Genomic DNA, 27641 nt, shown 5'->3' on the forward strand with positions numbered 1-27641 from the left:
GGCTCATGGAAGGCTGGTGCCTAGGAACGTGTCTGCACTGGCTGGCCACAGAACTAGACAGGCCCCGGTTACCTTGTGGTAGCCATTGAGCCAGCTGTTGGGGACGAACATGATGGAGAGGCTCCGAGCCATGGTGACCTGCTCACCTCCTCCCAAGGCTGGAGTGGACAGGCCTGAACCGTGTGCCTTTTTTGCCGGATCCTTCCCCTGCCTTGGGCCCCAACTTGCAGGGCTCTCCGACATCCCTAGAGCCCATTATGACATCACCAGTGCAATTTGAAGCAGTAACATCCTCAGGGCACCCCAAGCCACAGGCTGACGTATGGTGGCCAACGTCTAAATGTTGACACCTGACCTGGGGGAGGGGTGTCTTGTATTCTGGGAGGCTAAGAATAGAGACTTTCTTCTTTCCTTGAAGAACTCCTCCCTCATTCTCTATTTTGGCCCCTTTGTTTGCTTCCTGCCAGCCAGTGCTCTAATTATTTCACTTATCCGTGTTTACTTTTTTATTATCTGTCTCTCCCATCAGAATGTGAGCTCCAGGAGGACACGACCCTCCCTGTTTCCTTGTTCCCTGCTGTGTCCCAGTACCAAGCACAGTGTCTGATATAGTAAGTGCTCGATAAAGACTTTCTGGGGCATGAAGACATGAACGAGAGGCTTCACTCACTCTGGTCATCCATTCATTTATTCATTCGAAATGCATGCCTGGTGCATCTGTTGTGGGCCAGGCTCTTGTCCACCTGAATAACTCCCATTTCTGCCCTGAGAAAGCTGCCAGCCTGGTGGCGGGTTGCTGGAGACACATCCTTTGTGTCATGCACTCTGACAGGGGCTATCTCTGAGCTCTAACAGAGATGGGGTTGCTTGGAGGAGCACGCTGTGGCAATGACAGGCTCTTAAACCAGAGCAATGGTATCTCATCTAGCAGGATTTCCCCCGCCTGATTCAGGGAGCCCCATCTGCCCCGAGGCCTCTGCCTGTGCTGACAACCACTGCTGCTTGTTTCTGCTAATATTGCAGCAGGGTGCTTCTATAGAAGCAATCTATAAAACACCATTTACAGCCATAACTGAACCACAAAAATCAATCCCGAACGCTCACTCCCATCAACAAACATGCTTTGAGGGCCTCCTGGGTGTGGGGCACAGTTTGATGGTGCCCTGGGAGTCAGAGGGATGAGCAAAATGAGGACTCTGCCCCTGGGGGAGGAGGGGTTTCGAATCTCCCAAGGGAGACAGGCCACATGGGAATGGGATAATTACTGGACTCGGCAAAATCGTGGATGCCAAGTAGAGAATGAAGGCTCTAGAACTGTGCTGGCTAGTACAGCAGCCACCAGCTATGCAGGGCTATTGAGCCCTTGACATGTGGCTACACCTTCAAGTACCTCTCACATTGAGAAATGCTATACCTATAAAACAATGTGCCACTGGATTATGTACAAAATGTATGAAATATCTCCATTTTAAGATATTGCTTACAGGTTAAAATGATAGCATTTTGGATACATTGTTAAATATACTATCATTGCTATATTAGTAACATTAATTTCACCTGTTTTTATTACTTTTTTTTTTTTGATACAAAGTCTCGCTCTGTCACCCAGGCTGGAGTGCAGTGGCACCATCTTGGCTCACTGCAATCTTCCCCTCCTGGGTTCAAGCAATTCCCCTGCCTCAGCCTCCTGAGTAGCTGGGATTATAGGTGCCTGCCACCACGCTTGGCTAATTTTTGCATTTCTAGTAGAGATGAGGTTTCTCCATGTTGGCCAGGCTGGTCTCGAACTCCTGACCTCAAGTGATCCACCCGCCTCGGCCTCCCAAAGCGCTGGGATTACAGGCGTGAGCCACTGCGCCCGACCTGTTTTTATTACGTTTTAAAATTGCAGCTACTAGAACATTCAAAATGACATACATGGCTTCCATTGTATTTCTGTGAGACAGCACTGGTCTAGGAGTAGAGGACCCAGCAGGGCACCAATAGCCTGTGTGACTGCAGCTGCAAGAATTCTGAGGAAATGGGACAATGAGGAACCTGCAAGGGGAAACTGAAGATGGGTGTGGGGAGGACAGTTGAAAAGTTTGATCATGAAGGGAAGGAGGGAGGCGGCAGTTCCGGGAGGCCACCAGGGTCCCAGGGACAATCAGTAATAGATGTTCACCAGGTCTTCCTCTCCCTCCTGCCATCTTCCAGAAAGATAGACCCTGGGCACTTGCAGACACCCCCCCACCACCCACCCCCTGCACACCCCTGGCAGTGCTCTAGAGTGAGCCTCCTTCATTTCAGTCCTTGGCAAGGGGGAGTGAGCCAGAGATGGCATTAAGCTGCATGTGGCTGCTAAGTCATGGTAAGTAACAGCCTTGGCCAGGCCATCCATTGCAAGGTGGGTTAAAAACACATCTCTCCTCCCTGACTGCCAGCTCTGGGCTCTGGGTAAAGGGCAATGGTGGGGAAGGAGAGATCAGGGATTCTGATATAGATGCAGCTGGGAGTTTGGTCAGTGTTTGAGATCAGGGAGGATTTTTCAGAGCAGCAGTGTGGCCCAGGAGGAGGAAGTCAGTTCCCTGACCTAGCCAGAGAAAGCTCCCATTATGGACACGTTTGGTCGGGGGAAATCAGGCAGCCTGGATCTGATGTTCATTTCTCTGCCTGTGCCCTCCCCCTCAGCCACACAGAGAAGCTGTAAACACTCGAATACAAGGATTAACTCTGCGTGTGGTGTCTGGGACATTATGAACAACTCTTGGTGGCTGTGTTTGTGTCTGTGTTAAATTGATCTTTTTAACCCCCAGCACCTAGGACGTGAGGCTGCCAAGCTTGGTATTCAATAAATATTGATGGATGAAGGAACAATGGAAGAAAGGAGTGCATGGGTAAACAAATGACAAATATGTCAAAGCACGGATGCAGATTCTTAGAATGGGCTAATGCTGTTTTCTGCTGGATTTTTGGATGTGTACAAACGAGTTCTCTCACAATACAGATCCACAGTGTCTGGGTCAGAGGAGAACTGATGCTCCGCATGGCATTTTACCATCCTGCCTGCCTGCCTGGGGCCCTGGGCCCACAGGCTTTGGGGAGAGTGTATGGCCAGGCTGCAGCCTTCCTGGGATAAAGCTCTGCCTTTTAGTCTCTTATCCTACTTTTTAGAAGCCCTTTAAGGTCTTTGTTAAAGGAAATCTAATGTGAAGAATTCCAGGAGAACTGGATAAGCCTGACTATGGGTGGGCGTGACTGAATTACTTCCCGGGCTGGCTAAGGAAGGCCTCCCCCGAAGTGCATCGGAAGCCTGCAGCTTCTCCTTATGGCCACTGGAGGGCACTTGGACCATGAAATACCAGATCGTCTCGGCGTCCCAGGTCTTTGGAAATGTGTGATTCAATTCAGCAAACGTTTCAAAATCATCACTATAAAGATAGCGCTTTTGTGTTGAACATCCAATATGGCGCTAAACACCTTATATATATGTGTGCGTGTATATATGAACTTGCTTAATATTAACTACAATTGTTGTGAGTTACTTAGGCTATTTAGGAAAAAAAAATCAAGGCTTAAAGAAGTCAAAGTACTTACCCAAGATTGCTTAGCTAAATAAAATTTGGGAGTAAGGACTTGAACTCAAGCCCTTGGGCACCAACCATAAGCAATAGGTGCACACAAAGCTGAAATGAGGACTCTCTTATAAGCAGGAAGACGCACACACCACACAAATATTATTGTTCCTCAACAATTTACACATTCTGAAATTGGAAGATGACTTACAATTTGTACATTACATGGTAATGTTTCTTTTTTCCCTTGAAATGATGTTATTAAATAAATGAAGTGTCTCACAATTCATGGTGTCTTAACTTGGAGGAAATAAAGTCATAGTAATACAAGGCAGGGAAAGATAATTTTCATTTAACATTTAAATAGCACTTACTATGTCCCCAGAACTATTCAAAGCACTTTACATCAAGGAACTCAATGAATCCTCACAGGCACCCTCTGAGAAATGCATTATCACCCTCATTTACAGATGAGGAAATGGAGGCACAAGGAGGAAGGCAATTTGTCCAAGGTCACACAGTGAGGAAGAGCTGGGATCAGGGTCTCTGGTAGTCTGTTTCCAGTCTGGGCTCCAAACCACTCTGGGCTCTGAGAAGAACTTGGGAAATGAGGCTGGAGCTGGCCGTGAGAGGGAGACGGTAAGTGTTGCACTGTGGTAAGAAATGCCCTGTGGAGGTGAGGGTGTTCCAGGCAGGGGAAAAGCATGAGCAGGCCAGGCGCGGTGGCTCACGCCTGTGATCCTAGCACTTTGGGAGGCAGAGGCAGGCTGATCATCTAAGGTCAGGAGTTCGAGACCAGCCTGGCCAGCATGGCAAAACTCCGTCTCTACAAAAATATAAAAATTAGCTGGACGTGGGTGGCAGTAATCCCTACTACTAGGTAGCCTGAGGCAGGAGAATTGCTTGAACCCGGGAGGCAGAGGTTGCAGTGAGCTGAGATTGCGCCCCTGCACTCCAGCCTGGGCAATAGAGCGAGACTCCATCTTGAAAAAAAATAAGAAATGCCCTGTGAAGGTGAGGGTGTTCCAGGCACAGGAAAAGCTCAGCAAAGGCTGGGAAGCGGGAAAGCACCAGGTGAGGATTTGGGCTGGGCTTGGAAATGGGGGCTCGGGCCTCAGGCCTGGGCTACTTAGAGGCCGGGACAGCAGAACAGAGTCTTGCAGAGCCAGAGCGCCCTGGGGCCTCCTAGGGGTGGGGAAAAAGAGAGGAGTAGAATGTTGGGGCAGGAGGGTGGGGGTGCTTCAGTCCAGGGAAGAGCTGAGGCCACTCTGCCCCAGCCACTCTCCAGGGAAGGGCCATTTGGGAAGTGCAGCGTGTGCTCAGGAAATGGCCGGATTGGGTTACTGGCAAGATTAAAGGAGCTAAATCGGGCCTGGGCTTGGGAGAGGTGTCCAAGAAGGGAACTGCCCAGGACCAGCAGCTGGAAGACCAGGAGAAGCAGCCTGGGACCTAGGGGTGGGGGCAGGGATCCTAGTCCAGGCCGGAAGCCCTCTCAACACCAAAAAGCTAGAATGTGGGGTCACCAAATAAGGGCCTCCTCACTTAGACGGGGCTGGGGCTGGGGTGGAGCCCCAGAGGAGAAAAGGAGAGCTTGGGAGAAGTTGGAGCCTAGATTCAGCCCAATTCTGAGCTGGTGTCTGGAGCTCCAAGCCCTTTTCTGGCTGGGGAGTGGGGGGCACTCTTGCTTGTAGGGTGTTGGTGGGAGAGCTCACTGCACAGCACAGAGGAGCTGCTGGAAACAGCCTGGGGCCCTCCAGCGCCCTCTCAGTCCCAGCACCAGCCTGTCCGCTCCTCTCTGCCCGATCCCTCTCCCAGCCTGAGTGGCAGCACCGGCTGTGGCCCCTCCCAGCCCCAAGGGCAGGCGGTCAGTGGTCTATTCTGGTATCCAGGGTGGCTGGGGCACCTGGGAGAGGGCAGAGGGAGCACCTGCCCCATCTCTTTGAGGCCGGATGAGGTGGGGGCATTAGGAGGGCCCTTTGGGATGGTTGGGGTATACCGTTCTGACTGCTGTGGGTGGGAAGAAAGAAGGCCAGCACTCTGCTTTCAGCAAATTGTAACTCTGGGGATCTTTAGTTGGGAAGGGAAATGTATCTGGGACACTCCTGATGCGCTCTGGGAGCATCTGGCACTCACGAGCTTGGGCAGTGGGAATCCCCAGGGGCTGGCAGTGGACCCCGGAATCTTTTTGGAAACTTGAGGCCACAGATCAAGCCTGGACTTTGGTCTCAGTCCTCCTGGCAGCCTCTCCAGGACAGAGGTGTGGATGCTGCTACGCGAGGCTGCTCCCAGGCCGGTTGGGGGCAGTCTGGGGCCAGGGTGGACTGAGGGGAGCCTCTGCAGCCTGTGAGGAGCCCCGTGCCTGGCTGGCCTGTGAGTGGCATGGGGCAGAAGGGCCCCCACTGGATTCTTTATCCTTCAGATGAAAAATTTCCAGTGTCCTCCCCACCCGCCTTTCCTGTAGGCTAAAGTTCGGACTCCTCTGTCAGTGGGGCCTGACTCCCTGACAGCCTCCCCCTCCATGCCTAGACCGTTTCTGGAGGGCAAGGGTTTTGGGAAGAGGAGCAGAGCAGAATGTTAGGAGGGACTTGTCCAATGCTGGACAAGGGGCTTTTTCCATGGAGAGTCCCCGATGGGGCCGAGTTAAAAGGGGATGAGCCGAGGGCTGTGTCTGCCAAATCAATATGTGGTAAGGCCTTGGAGACCACACAGAGAAATAAGCAGGACTTCTAGGAGACACTGACTAGGGTTAATCCAGGCTTTGCTTTTTACTTGCTGTGCAACCTTAGGAAACTTACCTAACCTCTCTGAGGCTAGTATCCACCGCTGTAAAATGGGGATAAGAGTTACTTCAGTGTTGTAAGGATTAGAGATACAGTGATTCCATGTGGTAGCTATCCATAATACTGTGCCTGGTATACAGTAGATGCTCAGTGAGTGGTGGCTGTGTTATTCTCAGAGGCACCATAGCCCATAGGAAGAGCTAGTGCTTTGGAGTCAGGCAGTCCTGGCTCTCAATCTTGGCCTTGACCTGCTGACCTGAAGCAAGGACTTGAGCAAGTCCTTGGCTCCCACTGAACCAGTTTCCTTATTGGTCAAAAGGGGATACAAAAAATACTCATGATGGCTGGCACTTACTGAGCACTCGAAGTGTGCTGGGCACTGTGCTAAGTGCTTTGCAGACAAGTTTCTCGTTTAATCTTCCCAACAACCCTATGCTGTAATTACCATTTCACAGGTGAGGAAACAGGCTCAGAGAGGTGAGGAAACTAACCCAAGAGTGGGAGATCCAGGATCTGAACTCTGGCCATGGCCTATCAGATGCTTCTCAAATTCCTCCCCTTGCCCACACCTCTGCAGAGTCCAGTGGAATTGAGGTCATGGGCTGCCTATCTGGCAGACGTGAGAAGACAGAAGGATGATGGGCTGGGCTATAAGAACATACAATGCTGAGGGCCCAAAAAAGGGTGTTGTGTAGAACCCAACACTCATCTTCATTGTGTACTTGGATGGTTCAGAGAATAAAGCATCCAGCACAGCGGCAAGAACAGTTCAGGGTGCCGTGGTGGACTGGGATCTGGAGTGGCAGAGAAGGCCCTGGGGTCTGAGTGGACCCCAAGCTGACCGTGACTCAGCTGGTTGGAGGAAGAGGAGGATGAGCCTATAAGGCTATAAATAGAAGCTGTGCATAGTGGCCCTGTGAGGTCATTGCCAGCCTGCTCAGGCCCTGTTTAAAGCCTCACAGCCTCAGAGGGATGTAGGAAACCTGGAAGGGGCCCAGGAGGGCAGGGATCTGACCAAACTGGAGAGGCTGAACCAAAAAAGCCTATGAGGCAAGATGAAAGGAATGGGGATGAATCAGGAAGAAGAGAGAATGGAGTGATGGCACTGAGATCCCAACAGAGAATTCCAAGGAAGGGGTGCAACCCCTTTTCTTCATCTAGGTTGAAATATAAAAAAGAAAGAAGGGGCCCAGGTGCAGTGGCTCACGCCTGTAATCCCAGCACTTTGGGAGGCCGAGGCAGGTAGATCACTTGAGGTCAGGAGTTCCAGACCAGCCTGGCCAACATGGTGAAACCCTGTCTCCACTAAAATATAAAAATTAGCCGGGTGTGGTGAGGGGGCACCTGTAATCCCAGCTACTTGGGAGGCTGAGGCAAGAGAATCGCTTGAACCTGGGAGGTGGAGGTTGCAGTGAGCGGAGATTGCAACATTGAACTCCAGCCTGGGCAACAAGAGTGAAACTTTGTCTCAGGAAAAAAAGGGAAAAAAAAAAAAAGAAAACAGACCTCTTTCACCCCTCTCTTTGGGGTCAGAGTAGGGAGGTATGTCCAAGGATATTTCACTTTAAGCAAGGATAAACCCAGACCCAGAACGGGGAGGTGACCAGTCCAATGTCACACAGCTTGTCTCAGAGCTGGTCCAGGACAGGTCCCCAGTTCAGCCATGTGCTCCCAATGCATCCGGAAGCCTTCCCTGAGGTGTTTTCTTTTTTTTCTTTTAGAGACAGGATCTTTCTCTGTCACTCAGGCTGGAGAGCAGTGGCTCAGTCATAGCTCGCTGCAGCCTTGACCTTCTGGGCTCAGGCAATCCTCCTGCCTCAGCCTCCCTTGTGCAGTGGACTCCAGGTATGCAGCACCATACCTGGTTAATTGTTTTAAAAAAATTTGTAGAGACAAGGTCTCACTTTGTTGCCCAAGCTGATCTTGAACTCTTGGGCTCAAGCAATGTTTCTGCCTCAACCTCCCAAAGTGCTGGGATTACAGGCATGAGCCACTGTGCTGTCCTGGGACCTTTCTTAATGCTACCAAAGCCCCCTTCCCTTCCGTCCACCCTTCCGTCCCATCCTCTCCTCCCTGTCATCTCTTACTGGGTGAATAACACCTGAAGTTTACAGGGTACTGAGAGTCCACAAAGCCCTTTCATCTCCATCATCTCATGAGCTCTTCCCCCTTGAGGCCCAGCCTCCTTCTCCTCCTAGCCTCCTTCCTGGGCTGAGCTGTCCTATTTGGTGGGAGAAGTTGGGGGCTGGGGAGGAGGTGAGATTAGCCCCAGACTTGTCCTACTTTGGCAGAAAGTCCACAGCACTCTGTGTCTGTAAAAGGAGCGTGGGGCAGGAGGGGCAGGAGTCGGGGCTGTGGGGCCCTCCTTGGAGAAGGAGCAAGGTCGGGGTGTGGGGGTGACGAGGACGATGAAGGAGGGGTTGATGAGAATTGGGGTGGGGGTGCCAGTGAAGGAAGGGGCCCAGGAGAGGGTCTGGGGGCTGGAGGTGGAAAAAGTTAGGAGAGGGAAGATATGGCCCGAATGTCTTAAGCCAAAGAGATGTGGAGCGTGGCCGATGGGAGGGGGGTGGATTGCTGGCTGAGCCTGGGGAGGAGGCAGCGCAGCAGGAGAGGGATGAGTTTCAGGGAGAATCCTGACGCCATCCCGGCTGGGCCCCCAACTCTCCAGCCTCCCCCCGGGTGATATCAGGGAGAAACAGCCGCCTCTGGACATTCCTTCCCTTTTACAGTCACTCCAGCTCCTCAGCAGCCTGTGGAGGTCAAGCAGCTGCTCCAGCTGGGGGAAGGTGGATGGAGGGGATGGGGATGCATGGGAGGGGGCTGCTGGAGGGAGGGGCTCTGGACAGGGAGGCCAGGGGACATTAGACAGTGAGTCCCAGGAAAAAACTCAGCTGAGACCACCCCCTGCTGGGGCCCAGAGTCTCAGGCTGTCAGAAGTTGAGGGGACTCCAGAGGTGACTTGGCCTTGTCCCCTCACACTGGGATCACAACAGGGCCGAGGCCAGGGACTTGCCCAGGTAGCCCAGGTGGTCAGCTGGTGAATCCCCAGGGTGTCCACCTGTATCTTCGCCTCCAATTGACCACTCTACCCCCAACCCCTAAGCTTGTGCCTTTTGCCACCACCTTCTCACCCCCCTGTCAATGACCCAGTGCTACAGTTGATGATGAGGGCCTAGGTCCCCAGAGTTCATCCTTGCCATGCTGTTCCCAAGGCTCTCTCATGCAATGGCTGCCTCCTGGCCCAACCCAGCTCAGGGTGGAAGCATGAGGTCCCCAGCTGGAAAAAAAGAGAGAGAAGAGGGGCCCTGGAAGGAGTGGAAGGTGCCCCTGTGGGTGGGTATTAGTCCACGGAGGGAGGGTGCACCGCAGGAGGAATTAACACTGCCTCATACCTGGAATCCCAGGGCAAGTGAGGCTCTCTCAGACCGGGTAAAGGGCCAGTTCTCTCCTTTTTGAGTTCTTTCAGTTTTTCCTAATCCAAATGCCCTATGCTGGCCAAGCCACCTCAGCTATCCGCCCATACTAGCCACCTGTCCTCCATCCATGCCATTCATGAAATCTGGGGGCTCCTAGGTAGAGCCAGGGCCCTTATTTTCCAGAGAGCCCTCTGTGAGGTTCAGAGATCTGCCGGGGCATCCTGAAGCCCTCCAGACATTGCGCTCGGGGGACAGCAGGGAACAGCAAAGGCCAAGGTCTGGAGGCTGGAGAGAGCTGGGCAGCCTCACCCAACAGAAAGGAGGCTGAAGCAAGGGGAGTCTGAAGGAGAGGTGAGTGACCTGCAGTTGACGAGGTGGGCAGGGCCAGTCCTGTGGGGCCCTCAGAGGCCATGACAAGTTTGGGTCTTGCTGGTTCAATAGGTCAGGGAAAGGAGAGAAGCTGGGAGTGGCAAAACAGGCAACGTTCCAAAAGGCATGAACACTGCCCCCAAATGTTTGCAGGGTAGATCTGTGAAAGGGGGGTTCTTGCTCTGCTTGGCTCCCAGGTTAGAATATGTGGCATAGCAGAGACATGTCATCTGGCTTTGAGTATCAGGAAACGTTTTCTTTCTTTTCTTTTCTTTTCTTTTTTTTTTTTAATTTTGACACAGAGTTTTGCTGTTTAGCCCAGGATGGAGTGAAGTGGTGTGATCTCGGCTCTCTGCAACCTCCACCCGCCAGGTTCAAGTGATTCTCCTGCCTCAGCTTCTCAAGTAGCTGGGATTACAGGCCCGTGCCACTACACCTGGCTAATTTTTGTATTTTTAGTAGAGACGGGGTTTTGCCATGTTGGCCAGGCTGGTCTCAAACTCCTGACTTCAGGTGATCCGCCCTCCTCGGCCTCCCAAAGTGTCAGGTTTACAGGTGTGAGCCACCGCACCCGGCCAAGGAAAGGTTTTCTAACAGCAGAGCTGCGGTGCAGACATGTTAGGTACTCAGGGACTCTTCGGGAATGGAATGTGCTGCCCAGAGACAGTAAGTTCCCAGGGACTGGAGGGATTCAAGCTGATCAAGTGCTTGCTGGAGCCACAGTAAAGAAGACTTCGGACTTCAGTGAGAAGTGGGAGCATGAGACTGGTCAGCCTCATGACCTGCTGAGGTCCAACTGTAAGCTTCTAAAACTCTGAGGTTTGAATAATCTGGAAATATTTCTTTTTTGTTTTTTGGTTTTTTTTTTTGAGACGGAGTCTCGCTCTGTCACCCAGACTGGAGTGCAGTGGCGCAATCTCGGCTCACTGCAAGCTCAGCCTCGCGGGTTCATGCCATTCTCCTGTCTCAGCCTCGCGAGTAGCTGGGACTACAGGTGCCCACCACCATGTCTGGCTAATTTTTTTATTTTTAGTAGACACGGGGATTCACTGTGTTAGCCAGGATGGTCTTGAGCTCCTGACCTCGTGATCCGCCTGCCTCGGCCTCCCAAAGTGCTGGGATTACAGGCGTGAGCCACCACGCCCGGCTTAATCTGGAAATATTTCAAACGGAGAGCAGGACTAACTTATTTCCTTAATTCATTTAACAAAAGTTATTGTCAGTACCCACTGTGCAAGGCACCATCCCACATACACAAATTTATAAATTGTCCCCTTTTCTGGTAAATGCTGAATGAAATCATCTGTCCTGGTGGACCTTTCCATTTCCAATATCAATTAAGGAAGAGGCCTGACTACTAAATACTGTGACTTTTATGTTTTTTTTTTAAAAAAGTGGCCGGGCATGGTGGCTCACGCCTACAATCCCAGCACTTTGGGAGGCTGAGGCAGGTGGATCACCTGAGGTCGGGAGTTCAAGACCAGCCTGACCAACATGGAGAAACCCCATCTCTACTAAAAATACAAAATTAGCCGGGCGTGATGGCGCATGCCTGTATTCCCAGCTACTCAGGAGGCTGAGGCAGGAGAATCGCTTGAACCTGGGAGGCAGAGGTTGTGGTAAGCCGAGATCGCACATTACACTCCAGACTGGGCAACAAGAGCAAAACCCGTCTCAAAAAAAAAAAGTACCAAAATTTGTGTTCAAAGGTGTCCTGAAGATGTTCACAGCAGCATTGCTTATAATAGCAAAACACTGGAACAACATAAATGTCTATCAATAAGGAACTGGCCAAATAAATTATACCAAGTCTATACAGTGAAATACAAAGACACTAAGAAAAATGACTCAAAACCCCACAACAAAGAAAAGTGCAGGACCAGATGGCTTAACTGGTGAGTTCTAAGAAACAAAGAACTAACACCAGGCTGGGCATGGTGGCTCACACCTGTAATCCCAACAGTTTGAAAAGCCAAGGTGGGAGGATCACTTGAGCCCAAGAGTTTGAGATCAGCCTGGGGCAACATAGGGAGACTCCCTGTCTACAAAAAAATTACAAAGTTTGCCAGGTATGGTGGCACACGCCTCTGGTCCCAGCTACTAGGGAGGCTGAGGTGGGAGGGTGAGAGGGTTACTTGAGCCCCGGAGGTTGAGACTACAGTAAGCCATGATCACACCACTGCACTTCAGCCTGGGTGACAGAGTGAGACACTGTCTCAAAACAAACAAACAAACAAACAAAAAACCTAACACCAGTCCTCAAACTCTTCCAAAAATTAGAAGAGAAAGGAATACTTTCTAGCTCATTCTTTTTTTTTTTTTTTTGAGACAGAGTCTCGCCCTGTCGCCCAGGCTGGAATGCAGTGGTACGATCTCAGCTCACTGCAACCTCCGCCTCCCGGGTTCAAGTGATTCTCCTGCCCCAGTCTCCCAAGTAGCTGGGATTACAGGCGTGTGCCACTACACCCAGCTAATTTTTGTATTTTTAGTAGAGATGGGGTTTCACTATGTTGGTCAGGCTGGTCTCGAACTCTTGACCTCCTGATCTGCCTCCCTCGGCCTCCCAAAGTGCTGGGTTTACAGGCATGAGCTACTGTGCCCAGCCACTTTCTAGCTCATTCTATGAGGCCAACATTATCCTCATACCAAAGCCAAACAAAGACACTACAGGAAAACTACAGACCAATATCCCTTATAAATATTGATGTAAAACTCATAACAAAATACTAGCAAACCAAATTCAGCAGCAAATTTAAAGGATTACACACTATAATCAGGTGGGATTTATTCCTGGAATGCAAGGATAGTTCAATATATAAAAGTCAATCAGTGTCATACTTCACATTGACAGAATGAAGAAAAACCCCACATGATCATCTCAATGATAAATGAAAACAACTGCATTTATAATAGCATTAAAAATAATAAAATACTTAGCAATAAACATAAATAATGAGGCACAAGACTTGTACACTGAAAATTATAAAATATTATTGAAATAAATCAAAGAAGACAAAAATAAATGGAAAGACATCTCATGTTCATGAACTGGAACACTTAATATTGTTAAGAATACCATTACTACTCAAAGTGATCTATAGATTCAGTATAATGCCTATCAAAATCTCACCAACATTTTTGCAGAAATAGAAAAATCCATCCTAAAATTCATAAGGAATTTCAAGAGACCTCAAATAGCCACAAATTTTTGAAAAAGAACAAAGATGGAGAACTCACATTTTCTGAGCTCAAAATTTACTACAAAGGTACAGTTATCAAAACAGTGTGTGGTACCAGCATAAAGACAGACATACAGACCAACAGAATATAATAGAGAGCCCAGAAATAAACCCTCACACGTGGTTAAATTATTTTCATCCCAGGTGCCCAGACCATTCAGTGGGGGAAAGGGTAGTCTTTTCAACAAATGGTGCTGAGAAACTGGATATCCACATGCAAAAAAACAAAGCTGGACTCTTACCTTATACCATACATAGAAATTAACTCAAAATGGATAAAACAGCCAGGCCCACATTGGCTCATGCCTGTAATTTTGGCACTTTGGGAGACCGAGGTGGAAGGATCGCTTGATCCCAGGAGTTTGAGGTTGCAGTGAGCTATGATGGCACCACTGTAATCCAGCCTGGGTAACAGAGCAAGACCCTGTTTCAACAACAACAACAACAACAAACAGACATGATACCTAAACATAAGAGCTAAAATATAAAATTCTTAGAAGAAAACAAAGAGGAAAATCTTCATGACATTGGATTTGGCGATGATTTATTGAATATGACACCAAAAGCATAGGCAATAAAATAAAAAATAGATAAATAGGACTTGATCACAATTACAAACTTTTGTTCATCAAAGGACATTATCAACAGAGTGAAAAGGCAAACCACAGAATGGGAGAAAATATTTGCAAATCATATATCTGATAAGGGATTAATATCCAGAGTATATAAAGAACTCCTGCAACTCAACAACAAAAAATCCCCAAACAACCCAATTCAAAAATGGGCAAAGGATTTGAAGACATTTTGCCAAAGAAGATATACAGATTACCAGTAAGCGCATGAAAAGATGCTCAACATCACTGATCATTAGGGAAACGCAAATCAAAACCACAATGAGCAGCCAGGTGTGGTGGCTTGCTTCCATAATCCCAGCACTTTAGGAGACTGAGGCAGGAAGATCGCTTGAGACCAGGAGTTTAAGTCCTCAGTGAGGTATGATCATGCCATTGCACTCCAGCCTGGGCAACAGAGTGAGACCCTATCTTTAAAAAATGAAATAAGGCTGGGTGTGGAGGCTTACAACTATAATCCCAGCACTGTGAGAGGCTGAGGTGGAAACATCACTTGACCCCAGGAATTTGAGACCAGCCTGGGCAACATAGGTTTGGAGACCTCATCTCTATGGAAAAGTAAAAAAACTAGCCAGGTATGGTGGCTTGCACCTGTAGTCCTAGGTACTTGGGAGGCTGAGGCAGGAGGATCACTTCAGTCCAGGAATTTGAGGCTGCAGTGAGTGATGATCGTGCCATTGCACTCCAGCCTGCGTGACAGAGGCCCTGTCTCTAAAAAACAAAACAAAACAAACAAACCACAATGAGGTACCACCTCACATCCATTAGGAAGGCTACTATTAATATTATAAAACAAATAAACAAATAGAAAATAGCAAGTGTTAGCCAGGATGTGGAGAAATTGGAACCCATGTTCACTGCTGGTAGCAATGTAAAACAGTGCAGCTGCTGCGGAAAACAGCATGGCAGTTCCTCAAAAATTTAGACATAGCATTACCATATAACATAGCAGTTCCACTTCTGAGTATCTACAGAAAAGAACTGAACATAAGTATTTGAACAGATATTTGTACACCAAAGTTCATAGCGACATTATTCACAATAACCAAAAGTTGGAAACAACCCAAATATTCATCAACAGATAAACAAAGTGTGGTGTATACATACAATGGAATATTATTTAGCCTTAAAAAGAAAGGAAATTCTGACCCATGTCACAACATGGATGAACCTTGAAGACGTTATGCTAAGGGAAGTAAGCCAGTCACAAAAGGACAAATATGGTATGATTCCACTTGCATGAAGTACCTAGAGTCAAATTCGTAGAAACGGAAAGTAGAATGATGTTTACCAGGGGCTGGGAGGAGGGGAAGGTGGAGGGTTATTTTTAATACATATGGAGTTTCAGCTTGGGACAATGAAAAAGTTCTGCAGATGGATGGTGGGGATAGTTGTACAACAATGTGAATGTACTTGACGCCACTGAACTGTATACTTAAAAAATGGCTCAAATGGTGAATTTTATTTTATGTATATTTTATCACAATGTAAAAGTGACTCAGCTGTCAATGTACTAAAATGGAACCATCTCTAAGCTGTATGTCATTGAAAAAAGATTGATTCAGAAGTGGGGGCTCCACATAAGAAAATGTGGTTGTGTGTACATGAAGTATCTCTGAAAGGAACCGATAACAACCAAAACCTGGTTGTCTCTGAAGCAGTGTTTGGGGTGGCTGGGTGTCAAAGTGGGAAGGAGACTTACTTTTCATTTTATGCCTTTTTGCACATCTTGAATTTTGTACCATATACACTACCCATCCAAATAAATTGTCGGTATTTTTAGTGTGTCCCATCCTGAGTGGTCCTCTCGGGAGGCTGAACTCTCCCTCCAGCGGTGCTGCCCAGCTCACAGCATGTTTTGGAGTGCTCCTCTTTCACCTGCCTTCCAAGCCTCGGGGTGTTGATTTGCAGCCCTCCATGGTAGCAAATCCTCAGGGGTGGAACTGAATTTTGAAAACAGTCCCAAGTGGTTCGGGGCCAAGTCTGGTGGTTGTTGATTTTGACTAGAGAATAGATGGCATGATTTATTTGTCTTCTGCCTCTTTTCACCAAGGAACTGAGGACTTGGGCTGGTCCAAAGGCCAATTTCCTTATGTGGTCTGGAGATCATTCACAGAGAAGAGCTCCAGAAATGTTGTCCCAGTAGCATCATAGAAATAGGTGTAGAGTCCCCTTCAGGAAGATTAATCTGGTTCTTTGGGCTGTAAGTGATCAAAGCAATACCAAGTGCCTTAAATTAAAAAAAAAAAAAAAAAAAAAAACGGAAAGTTTGTTGGCCCAAGGCCAGGAAGGACAGTGTGGGAGCTCAACTCACAAAGTTGAGGGAAGCACTGCAGGAACCAAGGGGCTGGCCTGCTCCTCCTCTCCAGCCTCCTCTGCTTCTTACATATTGACCTCTCTTTCTTCCTACTCCCCCAGGGGGCAGGAAACATGGCTTCCACAGGTTCCAGTTGAAGAATCCCAGTTCCGTCTATAAATTCCAGGGAAGGTCTCTGATTGGCCCTGCTCATTCCCAGGCCCATTCCTTGACCCAGTCACTGAAGTCAGGGAGATGCAGTAATAAGACTGGCTGGAATCAGGGTCTTTAGGGGTGGAGGGATGGGGAGGAGGCACAGCATGTCATCAAAATAAGGAAATTGCAAAAGAAAGCTTGCAGGCTACTTTGAATGACAATGAGAAAGACGGTGCTGCCTGAGTGTGTTAAGGATCCACATGGTCTCCAAAATCCTCCAGGAGCATACAGTCTAGTCTGGGAGATGAGACACAAAAATAACCAGAACACAACAGCTTGCACTGACTCGAGGGCTGGATAAGAATATCTGGAACTCCCCCATCTATTTCAGAAGCTTGTCTCTTGGATGAAAATTAGACACTTAATGGGAAAGGGCTTTGAAAAGAGTGCAGTAACAAAGCCCCCTTTACAATTTACCCGGCACATTCACACCCATCCTGAGGCCAAAGCCACAGGCTGTGAGGTCTCACTGTCTCAGCTTCCTGAGCTATAAAATGGGAATGATGCTAGTGTCTACCTCCTAGGGTTGGAGAATTGGGGGTCATGGGTGTGAAGTGCTCAGCAGCTTGGCCCACACTAGGTGGTCAGTACATGTAAGGTATTATTGTTGCTACATACATTAGTAGGGCCTGGGCCTCTTTAAACCTTTATAGGGTAGCATGGCAAGGCTAACCATCCTCACTTTATATCTGACAAGCTGGGGCTCAGAGAGGACGTGCCTGAGCTGGGGCTCAGACAAGGACACACCTACTAGTAACCCCTCCAGCTGGTGATGGCAGGTCTAGGGTAGGACCAGTGACTGGCTCCTAATCGAGCACTCTATTTTCAGGGTTTGCATTCCAAAAGGGTCAGGTCCAAGAGGGACCTGGAGTGCCAAGTGGAGGTGTAGAGGCACGGCCAGTACCCATGGAGAATGGTGGATGTCCTTAGGGGTTAGCAAGTGCCGTGTGCTAAGGAGGGGGCTTTGGAGGTTGGGCAGGCCCTCTGTGGGGCTCCATTTTTGTGGGGGTGGGGGCTGGAGCATTATAGGGGGTGGGAAGTGATTGGGGCTGTCACCCTAGCCTTCCTTATCTGACGCCCACCCATGCCTCCTCAGGTACCCCCTGCCCCCCACAGCTCCTCTCCTGTGCCTTGTTTCCCAGCCATGCGTTCTCCTCTATAAATACCCGCTCTGGTATTTGGGGTTGGCAGCTGTTGCTGCCAGGGAGATGGTTGGGTTGACATGCGGCTCCTGACAAAACACAAACCCCTGGTGTGTGTGGGCGTGGGTGGTGTGAGTAGGGGGATGAATCAGGGAGGGGGCGGGGGACCCAGGGGGCAGGAGCCACACAAAGTCTGTGCGGGGGTGGGAGCGCACATAGCAATTGGAAACTGAAAGCTTATCAGACCCTTTCTGGAAATCAGCCCACTGTTTATAAACTTGAGGCCCCACCCTCGACAGTACCGGGGAGGAAGAGGGCCTGCACTAGTCCAGAGGGAAACTGAGGCTCAGGGCTAGCTCGCCCATAGACATACATGGCAGGCAGGCTTTGGCCAGGATCCCTCCGCCTGCCAGGCGTCTCCCTGCCCTCCCTTCCTGCCTAGAGACCCCCACCCTCAAGCCTGGCTGGTCTTTGCCTGAGACCCAAACCTCTTCGACTTCAAGAGAATATTTAGGAACAAGGTGGTTTAGGGCCTTTCCTGGGAACAGGCCTTGACCCTTTAAGAAATGACCCAAAGTCTCTCCTTGACCAAAAAGGGGACCCTCAAACTAAAGGGAAGCCTCTCTTCTGCTGTCTCCCCTGACCCCACTCCCCCCCACCCCAGGACGAGGAGATAACCAGGGCTGAAAGAGGCCCGCCTGGGGGCTGCAGACATGCTTGCTGCCTGCCCTGGCGAAGGATTGGCAGGCTTGCCCGTCACAGGACCCCCGCTGGCTGACTCAGGGGCGCAGGCCTCTTGCGGGGGAGCTGGCCTCCCCGCCCCCACGGCCACGGGCCGCCCTTTCCTGGCAGGACAGCGGGATCTTGCAGCTGTCAGGGGAGGGGAGGCGGGGGCTGATGTCAGGAGGGATACAAATAGTGCCGACGGCTGGGGGCCCTGTCTCCCCTCGCCGCATCCACTCTCCGGCCGGCCGCCTGCCCGCCGCCTCCTCCGTGCGCCCGCCAGCCTCGCCCGCGCCGTCACCATGAGCCAGGCCTACTCGTCCAGCCAGCGCGTGTCCTCCTACCGCCGCACCTTCGGCGGGGCCCCGGGCTTCCCACTCGGCTCCCCGCTGAGTTCGCCCGTGTTCCCGCGGGCGGGTTTCGGCTCTAAGGGCTCCTCCAGCTCGGTGACGTCCCGCGTGTACCAGGTGTCGCGCACGTCGGGCGGGGCCGGGGGCCTGGGGTCGCTGCGGGCCAGCCGGCTGGGGACCACCCGCACGCCCTCCTCCTACGGCGCAGGCGAGCTGCTGGACTTCTCACTGGCCGACGCGGTGAACCAGGAGTTTCTGACCACGCGCACCAACGAGAAGGTGGAGCTGCAGGAGCTCAATGACCGCTTCGCCAACTACATCGAGAAGGTGCGCTTCCTGGAGCAGCAGAACGCGGCGCTCGCCGCCGAAGTGAACCGGCTCAAGGGCCGCGAGCCGACGCGAGTGGCCGAGCTCTACGAGGAGGAGCTGCGGGAGCTGCGGCGCCAGGTGGAGGTGCTCACTAACCAGCGCGCGCGCGTCGACGTCGAGCGCGACAACCTGCTCGACGACCTGCAGCGGCTCAAGGCCAAGTGAGGGCCCGGCACCCCAGACTCCTCTTTCTGCGGGCAGGGCACAGGAGGCTAGGCCTGGGGTCTGGGGTCCCGCTGTCAGCACCTGCCTTCTCCCGGGGCCCGGGACCCTCTCCTGCCCCATGTGGAGAAAGGGTCCTCCACCTGTGTGTTTCAAGGGGCCGTGACCTCCAGGTCTCTCCCCCTGCGATCCCATCTTGCACAGGAGTTTTCTTGGGGACATAGATCAGGGGGTGGATATGGGAGAATTTAGGGGACCCGGTGCCCTGTGGACAGCCCCGTTAAAAAGCATTTTAAGATGCTGGGGCGATATTTATGGGGTCAGGTAGTTGATGGGCAGAGGAAGGGCTGCAGGAGGCCCAGAGGGCAGTGTAGCCAGAGGGAGAAGGGAGGCTGATAGGAGACAGGGAAAGCAGGGCAAGGGCCCAGAGTCCAAGCAACAGCTCTCAGCTCAGCTGTGATGAGGCCCTGGGGGAGGTGGGGGGAGGGGGGAGCTTGGCCCTGGGGCCTTGCCGAGACTGTGTCTTTTTACAAGGTGAATGGACAGGCTGGAGAAAAAGGGAGTAGGTGGGGGTCACAGCTCTCAGAGAGCTTGGGAGGACCTGACTGTAGACTTCACCAGGCTCCAAGAACGAAAAGGGCAGCAAGTGTAGCATATTTGTTGGTCCCACTTCTGACAGGCCAAGTGAGCACAGTCACCCTCCTGCCACCAAAGTCATAAATATTAATTGAGCAGCTATATTGGCCAGGCTGGAGCTGGGAACCAGAAACACAGAGGTGGATAAAATAGACACAGTTTCTAACCCCAGGGAGGTCACACAGTCTGGTGGGGACATAGACTTCAAGGGTGTGGCTCCTGGGCAGAGATTGGGCCACTTCCTGTGCCCTCCCTGGGTGGGTGGGGCCTCTCCACTCCCTGTCTCTCCTGCCTCTACCCAGCAGCCAGGCCCTCCCGCTCTGTCCTGGACCCACCCCCTGGTCAGCCCCCGGCCAGTCGTTTCCACTGCCAGCTTTATCACCCGCAACTGTCTGTCTTTCTGTCTGTCCCACCCAGGCTGCAGGAGGAGATTCAGTTGAAGGAAGAAGCAGAGAACAATTTGGCTGCCTTCCGAGCGGTGAGTGCCCTTCTTTTCCCCTTGCATGGCCTCTGGCCTTGCTCTGCCCCACCTGGGTGGCGGTGACCATGTCCTTCTCGCTTGGCCTCTCCCAGGACGTGGATGCAGCTACTCTAGCTCGCATTGACCTGGAGCGCAGAATTGAATCTCTCAACGAGGAGATCGCGTTCCTTAAGAAAGTGCATGAAGAGGTATACCTTGGCCCCTCTTCCTGGGGTCACTGGGCCATGGGGAAAGCAGCCGGAAAGTGGGGTTGGGGTGAGGCTCTGGCTGGGAATAGGGGTGTGAGGGTGCTGTGTGGGCCCTGAGAGGGGACTGAAGCCCAGTCATGCCCTACAGGAGATCCGTGAGTTGCAGGCTCAGCTTCAGGAACAGCAGGTCCAGGTGGAGATGGACATGTCTAAGCCAGACCTCACTGCCGCCCTCAGGGACATCCGGGCTCAGTATGAGACCATCGCGGCTAAGAACATTTCTGAAGCTGAGGAGTGGTACAAGTCGAAGGTGGGTGGCCTCGCCCGGGGACTGGCATCTCCGTCCCCCTGAATCCCAGCTTGGATGTGCTGCCTGTGGTACCATCCATGGGAGGAGAGCCCAGAGGCTTCATGCTCCCTTGCTCATCCCTACCCGTGCCCTGCATCCTTCTCATTTTTGGGCCCCTTTCTCTGCCCTTAGGTGTCAGACCTGACCCAGGCAGCCAACAAGAACAACGACGCCCTGCGCCAGGCCAAGCAGGAGATGATGGAATACCGACACCAGATCCAGTCCTACACCTGCGAGATTGACGCCCTGAAGGGCACTGTGAGTCCCTGCCCACCTGGCCAGGCCCTGCCCCTTCCTGTCTGCAGTTCACACCCTCACTTTGTGACCTTGGGCCCATCATAGATCCTCTCTGGGCCTTCATCTACTTAAATCTACAATAGGGGTAAAACCAGACAAGTGGATTCCAGTTGGATGCTAAGGAATCAGGGGTTCCTGGGCATCTACCTATGTGGGGACTGTGAGGCTGAATGCAATGTTCCTTTGTATCTATTTTATTCTGAGTGTTCACATATAGACTTAATTTGAGTTCAGGGTTCAACATGGCCTGGACCTGACCATCTGGAGTTGCCTGCCAGCCCCAAAGCTTTCTTTGGGCTGCTAGTGTCCTCTTCCCTTCCTTGACCTGGGTTCCCCCTCTCCTGCAGAACGATTCCCTGATGAGGCAGATGCGGGAATTGGAGGACCGATTTGCCAGTGAGGCCAGTGGCTACCAGGACAACATTGCGCGCCTGGAGGAGGAAATCCGGCACCTCAAGGATGAGATGGCCCGCCATCTGCGCGAGTACCAGGACCTGCTCAACGTGAAGATGGCCCTGGATGTGGAGATTGCCACCTACCGGAAGCTGCTGGAGGGAGAGGAGAGCCGGTGAGGGGCCAGGCAGGAGCCCGAGTGGGAGGTGCGGGGTGCTGGGTGGTCCATTTCTGTCCCCAGGAGGCTCGAGATTACTGATTACCTCAACAAGACCTGGAAACAATTTTTTTTTTTTTTGAGATGGAGTTTCGCTCTTGTCGCCCAGTCTGGAGTGCAATGGCACCATCTTGGCTCACTGCAACCTCCGCCTCCTGGGTTCAAGCAATTCTCCTGCCTCAGCTTCCCGAGCAGCTGGGATTACAGGCGCCTACCACCACGCCTGGCTAATTTTTGTATTTTTAGTAGAGACGGGGTTTCACTATGTTGGGCAGCTGGTCTCGAACTCCTGACCTCAGGTGATCTGCCTACCTCAGCCTCCCAAAGTACTGGGATTACAGGCGTGAGCCACCGCACCCGGCGTGGAAACAATTTTATACAAGAGGCCACTGCTCTATTAATTGCAGAGAATTAACCAAGGCCACCTGGGTAAAAAGCAATTTAATTAACAGCATTTATAAAAAGAGAAATATAAGTATTCCCTTATCCACCTTCAGAATTAAGAACCAGCAGCAAAAAAAACCATATTCAGCAACCAATAATAAAATATTACTGCCAGTCAAGGGAGAGATGAAAGCAGAATGGGGAGTGATGAGGAGGGAAACGGAGGGAGCAGATAGAGGCAAATAGAGAGAGGGAGGGAGAGAAGCCTTGCACAGGGATAGGCTAAGAGAAGGTAAAGAGATGCATACAGAAGGCATGAGTTTGCACACACATGCACACATGTCAGCATATGCACATGTTCGGAGGAAAAGACACAGACGTCATGCTCAGAGCAACCCACCTCTAGACACAGAAAACAACATACAACTGGAAAGGGACACCAGGGAACCTTGTGGGATAACAGAAATGTTCTATATCTTTTTTTTTTTTTTTTTTTGAGACAGAGTCTTGCTCTGTCACCCAGGCTGGAGTGCAGTGGTGTGATCTCAGCTCACTGCAACCTCTGCCTCCCAGGCTCAAGCGGTTCTCCTGTCTCAGCCTCCCTAGTAGCTGGGATTACAGGCGTGTGCCAACACACTCAGCTGATTTTTTGTATTTTTAGTAGAGATGAGGTTTCACCATGTTGGTCAGGCTGGACTCTAACTCCTGACCTCAAGTAATTCGCCTGCCTCAGCCTCCCAAAGTGCTGGGATTATAGGCATGAGCCACTGTGCCTGGCCTAGAAATGTTCTATATCTTGATTTGGACTGGTAGTTACACAGACGTGGACATTGATCAAAACTCATTGAATTGTACATTAAAGATCTGTGCATTTCACTGTATGTAAATTTAACCTCAATTTAAAACAGATCAGTTACTCCAAAAACTGGTACCCCTTGATACTCATAAAAATAATATCTGAAATTTTTAAAAAGGAGCAGACATGTTTAGATACAGGTACAAACATAAAGAGAAACTTCAGATTTTGTAAAATCACGTCTACATATGATGGCCTTTGAAGGTAGCTAAAGGCATGTTGCATTTTCCCAGCATTAGGCCTAAATAGTAAGCTCTCAGAACTGGCCTGGCTGGAGGGTGGGCATGAGCAATGGATATCACCCACAGCTGCTACTAGTACCAACTTCAGTGCCAGGAGCAAGAAGGAAATCCTGGTGCTCTGGAGGGCGCGGTGGGGTTGCACATCCTAGTGTCGTGCCAGCAGTTCACAGTTGAAATAATGATCCTTCCAGAAGAGACTATTCCTGGGACAGCTCTAGCTGGCCTTCGACCCCATTCCTTGAGCAGTATGGGTGGTGGGAGTGCTGGGGTCCGTGGGACTGGGACAGCTGAGGATGGTGTTTAGAAAGGACCAGGGTGAGCCTTGATGGGCGGTCTCAGGGAAAGATGGGAGGGTTCTTTTTTTTTTTTTTTTGAGACAGGGTCTTGTTCTGTCCCCCAGGCTGGAGTGCAGTGGTGCAATCTCCGCTCACTGCAAGCTCCACCTCCTGGGTTCGCACCATTCTCCTGCCTCACCCTCCTGAGTATCTGGAACTACAGGTGCCCGCCACCATGCCCGGCTAATTTTTTGTATTTTTAGTAGAGACGGGGTTTCACTGTGTTAGCCAGGATGGTCTCGATCTCCTGACCTGGTGATCCGCCCGCCTCGGCCTTTCAAAGTGCTGGGATTACAGCTGGGCCCGGCCGATGGGAGGGTTCTTAACTCTTAGGAGGTTTTGTCTCTTCCCTTTTAGGATCAATCTCCCCATCCAGACCTACTCTGCCCTCAACTTCCGAGGTGAGTGTCTGCTGGCAGGCGGAGGCTGGAGTTGCAGGGGCCAGGAGTCCAGCATGGGCACTGCCCAAGGCCAGCCAGGAGGGAGGATGGGACCCTGGGGCTAGGGACAGACCTGGAGTCTGGGGAAGAAAAAGGGGACCACTGCGGGTAGGTGGGGGAGTTTAGGTAGAGGTGGATGAGGCAACTTATGACAGAGAGAGCTTTTTATGTGATTATATTGTATTGTATTTACCATGTCCCCTGCACCTTCTTGGAGTATTGGGCCTCAGGAAGCAGCCTCTGTTCTGAATCCCAAACTCTGAAAGCAGGAGTGTCCTTGGGGACCTGGCTTCAGGAGCATCTCATACCACCTGCCCTCTAAGACACCCACAGCCCATTGTCTGTTTGGCACATTGCCAAGCCCCACCTTGGCTGCTTGTCGAACACCTCCAGTTTGCTGGAGCAAGATGTTGGATGCACGTTTGGAAAAAAATGCCAAATCTTAGCAAAGCCAAACAATGAAAAGAACGAGCTCTTAGGGCACTCTGCCATTTTGACATTAGTAATACGCAGATCGGGTGGCTTTCCAACCCCAGAGAGCAGAGAAACACACGATAATGATGCATTAGGAAAGCAAGTCGGAGTCCTTGGCAGCTTCTCCTTTCCTAGATCAAACCTTTTCTATCTTCGATGTACATTTCCATCAGGAAAAAAAACACGCTGCGCTCCAGCGAGTCACAACATTCATCACAGGCTGGTTGCTAGCTAAGGAAATTCGTAAGCACCAAACTCATAATACCAAGGACCTCCATTTGACCTTTCCTACACAACTCAGAGCCTCTCTTTTCAGTTAGTTGTTTATACAGACACCAAGTATGAGTCTTGCATTTAAAACTTCATAGTACAAAAAACTCCACCCACATTGCACAGTGCTTTTCCAAATCAATAGCTTTGTGGCCATGATAAGGTTGGTACCACTTCACTCCGTGTCCTCAGTGAGGAAACTGAGGCACAGAATGGCAAGTGACTGAGCATCAGCACAATGAGTCAGTGCCTTATTCCTGCTCTGTCTCACTTTAAGACATCAAGTTGCTCATCTGAATTTTTTTTTTCTTTTGAAACGGAGTCTCGCTCTGTCGCCCAGGCTGGAGTGCAGTGGTGCAATCTCGGCTCACCGCAACCTCCGCCTCCCAGGTTCAAGCAATTCTCCTGCCTCAGCCTCCTGAGTAGCTGGGATTACAGGCATGTGCCACCACGCCCCCCTAATTTTTGTATTTTTAGTAGAGACGGGGTTTCACCATGTTGGTCAGGGTGGTCTGGAACTCCTGGCCTCATGATCCACCTGCCTCGGTCTCCCAAACTACTGGGATTACAGATGTGAGCCACCGCACCTGGCCCTGAAATCTTAAAGGGAGATAGGTACTGTAAGGTCCTCTAAAGAGTGTCTTGAGACTGGGCTTTGGGGTTCTATCTTGAAGAAGGGGAGTCCCAGGAGACAAATGTGTGCAGGGCTCTCCTGGGGCCTGGGGGTGGAGAGGAACTAGGAGGGATGGGGAATGTCAGTGCTGTGCAGCCTGGGCCTCAGGTGTCCCCTACCCTCCTGCACCATCCTGCACATGGAGCAAATCTGTTGGCTCCTGAGACCATCTAAACTATGGGACAGGCGCTGGGGACTGCAGAACCACCTGCTGGGTGCTGGGCTGAAGGAAAGGTGTTAAAGTCTTGAAGAAGTAACAAGCCTGTCTTGAGGGGGGTTGGGGTCTGCTAGGGCTCTGCCCAATGTGGCCCCAGATGGACTCCCAGCCCCTGGTATAGCCCAGCCTGGACTTGGTCAGGCTGAGTGTGCGATGGACCCTGTTACAGAAACCAGCCCTGAGCAAAGGGGTTCTGAGGTCCATACCAAGAAGACGGTGATGATCAAGACCATCGAGACACGGGATGGGGAGGTAAGTGGTCTGTCTGGGCTCCTTACCCTTGGTGGGGGCTATGGATGTGTCTGGGGGGACTGTCTTCCACCCAGCTGTGCTGGTCTAGGTCCCTGGCTAGTGGGGCAAGAGAGATCCTGCGGCCCTGGGGTGGGGATGGCTCAGGGCTGAGGCTCCATTCTCTGGCTAGCACATGGTTGGACTGGGCTTCTCTTCCTCCCCAGGTCGTCAGTGAGGCCACACAGCAGCAGCATGAAGTGCTCTAAAGACAGAGACCCTCTGCCACCAGAGACCGTCCTCACCCCTGTCCTCACTGCTCCCTGAAGCCAGCCTTCTTCCATCCCAGGACACCACACCCAGCCTCAGTCCTCCCCTCACAGCCTCTGACCCCTCCTCACTGGCCATCCCTCGTGGTCCCCAACAGCGACATAGCCCATCCCTGCCTGGTCACAGGGCATGCCCCGGCCACCTCTGCGGACCCCAGCTGTGAGCCTTGGCTGTTGGCAGTGAGTGAGCCTGGCTCTTGTGCTGGATGGAGCCCAGGCGGGAGCGGTGGCCCTGTCCCTCCCACCTCTGTGACCTCAGGCACTAGCCTTTGGCTCTGGAGACAGCCCCAGAGCAGGGTGTTGGGATACTGCAGGGCCAGGACTGAGCCCCGCAGACCTCCCCAGCCCCTAGCCCAGGAGAGAGAAAGCCAGGCAGGTAGCCAGGGGGACTAGCCCCTGTGGAGACTGGGGGGCTTGAAATTGTCCCCGTGGTCTCTTACTTTCCTTTCCCCAGCCCAGGGTGGACTTAGAAAGCAGGGGCTACAAGAGGGAATCCCCGAAGGTGCTGGAGGTGGGAGCAGGAGATTGAGAAGGAGAGAAAGTGGGTGAGATGCTGGAGAAGAGAGGAGAGGAGAGAGGCAGAGAGCGGTCTCAGGCTGGTGGGAGGGGCGCCCACCTCCCCACGCCCTCCCCTCCCCTGCTGCAGGGGCTCTGGAGAGAAACAATAAAGAGATTCACACACAAGCCAAGCTGGCCCCTGTTGTCTTGACTGCCAGGTCTCCTGTGGGGCCCCTGGGGCCCTGTGATACAACCTGTCACCCTGAGATGGACTATACTGACCTTCTACCCAGCCAGACTTTCCCCAGGGCCTCGCGCCCACTTCTGTTCCCAGAGCCACCTGGCCTTGATGTCTGTATGCAGTGTATGGGGCAGGGAGGGCTGGACAGGGCTTTTGTTGGGGAACCACAAATACCTCTCGTTAGGCCCCAGTTCCAGGACTGCACCCCTTGTGCTCTCTACTACACCTTCAGGTCAGCCAGGCTGGGGGACACCACCTGCTATTCCTTTTGAAGGATGTAGCTGCTCCCCACTGACTGGCTCTGAAGTAGGGCTCCCCCAGTCCCTTCTTCAAAGATGCCAACAGCCCCTTTTTTTTCTCTCTCTCTTTTTTTCTTTTTGAGATGGAGTCTTGCTGTGTCACCCAGGCTGGAGTGCAGCAGTGTGATCACGGCTTACTGCAGCCTGGACTTCCTGAGCTCAAGCGATCCTCCCACCTCAGCCTCCCAAGTAGCTGGGACCACAGGTTCACACCACCATGCCTGGCTAGCTTTTTATTTTTTGTAGAGACAAGGTCTTTCTGTGTTGCTGAGGCTGGTCTTGAATTTCTGGGCTCAATTGCTCCTCCTGCTACCTCAGCCTCCCAAAGTGTTGGGATTACAGATGT

At 51.4% G+C, this 27641-nt stretch overlaps 2 protein-coding genes and 1 long non-coding RNA gene across 11 annotated transcripts in view, besides 22 other annotated features; 2 read left to right on the top strand and 1 right to left on the bottom strand.

The window, feature by feature from the left end:
- The window catches only part of DNPEP (aspartyl aminopeptidase), a 27965-nt gene extending 27751 nt beyond the window's left edge, over nucleotides 1-214 (bottom strand). For both annotated transcript variants that reach the window (NM_001319117.2, NM_001319116.2), the window contains exon 1: nucleotides 73-214. In NM_001319117.2, coding sequence (NP_001306046.1) covers nucleotides 73-132 — 60 coding nt within the window. In that variant the 5' untranslated portion in view covers nucleotides 133-214. The remainder of the gene's footprint in view (nucleotides 1-72) is intronic.
- The window catches only part of DNPEP-AS1 (DNPEP antisense RNA 1), a 15063-nt gene extending 11224 nt beyond the window's left edge, over nucleotides 1-3839 (top strand). The window contains exons 3-4 of one of the 2 annotated variants that reach the window (NR_183823.1): nucleotides 530-611; nucleotides 2796-3839. This is a non-coding gene — a long non-coding RNA (DNPEP antisense RNA 1). The remainder of the gene's footprint in view (nucleotides 1-529; nucleotides 612-2795) is intronic. The other variant, NR_183822.1, reaches the window with a different exon arrangement.
- Nucleotides 1-18620: part of a locus control region, noted in NCBI's record as "18.6DESbeta transgene fragment", that runs on past the window's edge. NCBI's record gives the evidence for it as "EXISTENCE:transgenic organism evidence [ECO:0001131][PMID:16545539]".
- Nucleotides 1-18659: part of a biological region, named in NCBI's record as "desmin locus control region", that runs on past the window's edge. NCBI's record gives its function as "regulatory_interactions: DES".
- Nucleotides 614-1224: a DNaseI hypersensitive site, noted in NCBI's record as "HS5; the nucleotide coordinates are approximate for this feature". NCBI's record gives the evidence for it as "EXISTENCE:in vivo cleavage assay evidence [ECO:0001075][PMID:16545539]".
- Nucleotides 2573-3955: a DNaseI hypersensitive site, noted in NCBI's record as "HS4; the nucleotide coordinates are approximate for this feature". NCBI's record gives the evidence for it as "EXISTENCE:in vivo cleavage assay evidence [ECO:0001075][PMID:16545539]".
- Nucleotides 3297-3396: an enhancer, noted in NCBI's record as "active region_17152". NCBI's record gives its function as "activates an Ori minimal core promoter by ATAC-STARR-seq in GM12878 lymphoblastoid cells {active_cell/tissue: GM12878}" and the evidence as "EXISTENCE:reporter gene assay evidence [ECO:0000049][PMID:35858748]".
- Nucleotides 4635-5208: a DNaseI hypersensitive site, noted in NCBI's record as "HS3i; the nucleotide coordinates are approximate for this feature". NCBI's record gives the evidence for it as "EXISTENCE:in vivo cleavage assay evidence [ECO:0001075][PMID:16545539]".
- Nucleotides 5259-5973: a DNaseI hypersensitive site, noted in NCBI's record as "HS3ii; the nucleotide coordinates are approximate for this feature". NCBI's record gives the evidence for it as "EXISTENCE:in vivo cleavage assay evidence [ECO:0001075][PMID:16545539]".
- Nucleotides 7020-7614: a DNaseI hypersensitive site, noted in NCBI's record as "HS2; the nucleotide coordinates are approximate for this feature". NCBI's record gives the evidence for it as "EXISTENCE:in vivo cleavage assay evidence [ECO:0001075][PMID:16545539]".
- Nucleotides 8415-9169: a DNaseI hypersensitive site, noted in NCBI's record as "HS1; the nucleotide coordinates are approximate for this feature". NCBI's record gives the evidence for it as "EXISTENCE:in vivo cleavage assay evidence [ECO:0001075][PMID:16545539]".
- Nucleotides 8613-9113: an enhancer, noted in NCBI's record as "H3K4me1 hESC enhancer chr2:220273128-220273628 (GRCh37/hg19 assembly coordinates)". NCBI's record gives its function as "activates a minimal SCP1, AML or CMV promoter by ChIP-STARR-seq in primed H9 embryonic stem cells {active_cell/tissue: H9 hESC(primed)}" and the evidence as "EXISTENCE:reporter gene assay evidence [ECO:0000049][PMID:30033119]".
- Nucleotides 17603-17721: an enhancer, noted in NCBI's record as "KpnI-HincII -973 to -848 fragment". NCBI's record gives its function as "enhancer in myotubes" and the evidence as "EXISTENCE:reporter gene assay evidence [ECO:0000049][PMID:8387519, PMID:8186686]".
- Nucleotides 17603-17878: an enhancer, noted in NCBI's record as "KpnI-HindIII -973 to -693 fragment". NCBI's record gives its function as "enhancer in myotubes and myoblasts" and the evidence as "EXISTENCE:reporter gene assay evidence [ECO:0000049][PMID:2007603, PMID:8387519, PMID:8186686]".
- Nucleotides 17603-18659: a transcriptional cis regulatory region, noted in NCBI's record as "1 kb region from Des1-nlacZ transgene; includes the -973 to -693 enhancer, the -693 to -228 silencer, and -228 to +75 DES promoter". NCBI's record gives its function as "drives developmental expression in skeletal but not cardiac muscle" and the evidence as "EXISTENCE:transgenic organism evidence [ECO:0001131][PMID:8186686, PMID:8325245]".
- Nucleotides 17649-17677: a protein binding site, noted in NCBI's record as "Oligo 4 MEF2(des)-binding site". NCBI's record gives its function as "required for full enhancer activity in myotubes" and the evidence as "EXISTENCE:protein binding evidence [ECO:0000024][PMID:8387519]".
- Nucleotides 17676-17682: a transcriptional cis regulatory region, noted in NCBI's record as "Mt (GGTATTT) site". NCBI's record gives its function as "required for full enhancer activity in skeletal muscle" and the evidence as "EXISTENCE:reporter gene assay evidence [ECO:0000049][PMID:9497371]".
- Nucleotides 17682-17705: a protein binding site, noted in NCBI's record as "Oligo 1 MyoD1(des)-binding site (PMID:8387519)". NCBI's record gives its function as "required for full enhancer activity in myotubes and for MyoD1 or myogenin transactivation in fibroblasts" and the evidence as "EXISTENCE:chromatin immunoprecipitation evidence [ECO:0000226][PMID:20412780]" and "EXISTENCE:protein binding evidence [ECO:0000024][PMID:8387519]".
- Nucleotides 17722-17878: an enhancer, noted in NCBI's record as "HincII-HindIII -849 to -693 fragment". NCBI's record gives its function as "enhancer in myoblasts" and the evidence as "EXISTENCE:reporter gene assay evidence [ECO:0000049][PMID:8387519, PMID:8186686]".
- Nucleotides 17754-17775: a protein binding site, noted in NCBI's record as "Oligo 6 K1 Krox20/24-binding site". NCBI's record gives its function as "required for full enhancer activity in myoblasts" and the evidence as "EXISTENCE:protein binding evidence [ECO:0000024][PMID:8387519]".
- Nucleotides 17784-17810: a protein binding site, noted in NCBI's record as "footprint 3 Krox20/24- and Sp1-binding sites". NCBI's record gives its function as "required for full enhancer activity in myoblasts" and the evidence as "EXISTENCE:protein binding evidence [ECO:0000024][PMID:8387519]".
- Nucleotides 17836-17856: a protein binding site, noted in NCBI's record as "Oligo 8 K3 Krox20/24-binding site". NCBI's record gives its function as "required for full enhancer activity in myoblasts" and the evidence as "EXISTENCE:protein binding evidence [ECO:0000024][PMID:8387519]".
- Nucleotides 17879-18354: a silencer, noted in NCBI's record as "HindIII-PstI -693 to -228 fragment". NCBI's record gives its function as "negatively regulates the DES promoter" and the evidence as "EXISTENCE:reporter gene assay evidence [ECO:0000049][PMID:2007603]".
- Nucleotides 18355-18659: a promoter, noted in NCBI's record as "-228 (PstI site) to +75 promoter fragment". NCBI's record gives its function as "promoter for DES gene" and the evidence as "EXISTENCE:reporter gene assay evidence [ECO:0000049][PMID:2007603]".
- DES (desmin) lies at nucleotides 18584-26941 on the top strand. Of its 7 annotated transcripts, none has more exons than NM_001927.4 (9): nucleotides 18584-19247; nucleotides 20302-20362; nucleotides 20458-20553; nucleotides 20702-20863; nucleotides 21035-21160; nucleotides 21547-21767; nucleotides 23984-24027; nucleotides 25870-25952; nucleotides 26156-26941. In NM_001927.4, the coding sequence occupies exons 1-9, from the start codon at nucleotides 18670-18672 to the stop codon at nucleotides 26195-26197; spliced, it is 1413 nt and encodes a 470-aa protein (NP_001918.3). In that variant the 5' UTR covers nucleotides 18584-18669; the 3' UTR covers nucleotides 26198-26941. The 7 variants fall into 7 exon arrangements, with proteins under 7 accessions (NP_001918.3, NP_001369641.1, NP_001369640.1 ...); NM_001382712.1 differs by having other exon boundaries at nucleotides 26760-26941; NM_001382711.1 differs by having other exon boundaries at nucleotides 21568-21767.

Source organism: Homo sapiens, chromosome 2 (genome assembly GCF_000001405.40).
Source record: "Homo sapiens chromosome 2, GRCh38.p14 Primary Assembly".
Taxonomy (NCBI): Eukaryota; Metazoa; Chordata; class Mammalia; order Primates; family Hominidae; genus Homo; species Homo sapiens.

What these genes read in the sequence shown, in the direction of transcription:
- DES (NM_001927.4), top strand. Translation starts at nt 18,670, where the DNA reads ATGAGCCAGGCCTACTCGTCCAGCCAGCGCGTGTCCTCCTACCGCCGC. An exon ending in TTGACGCCCTGAAGGGCACT is followed by an intron (nt 21,161 to 21,546) that starts GTGAGTCCCTGC and finishes CCTCTCCTGCAG; the next exon opens with AACGATTCCCTGATGAGGCA. An exon ending in CTCTGCCCTCAACTTCCGAG is followed by an intron (nt 24,028 to 25,869) that starts GTGAGTGTCTGC and finishes ACCCTGTTACAG; the next exon opens with AAACCAGCCCTGAGCAAAGG.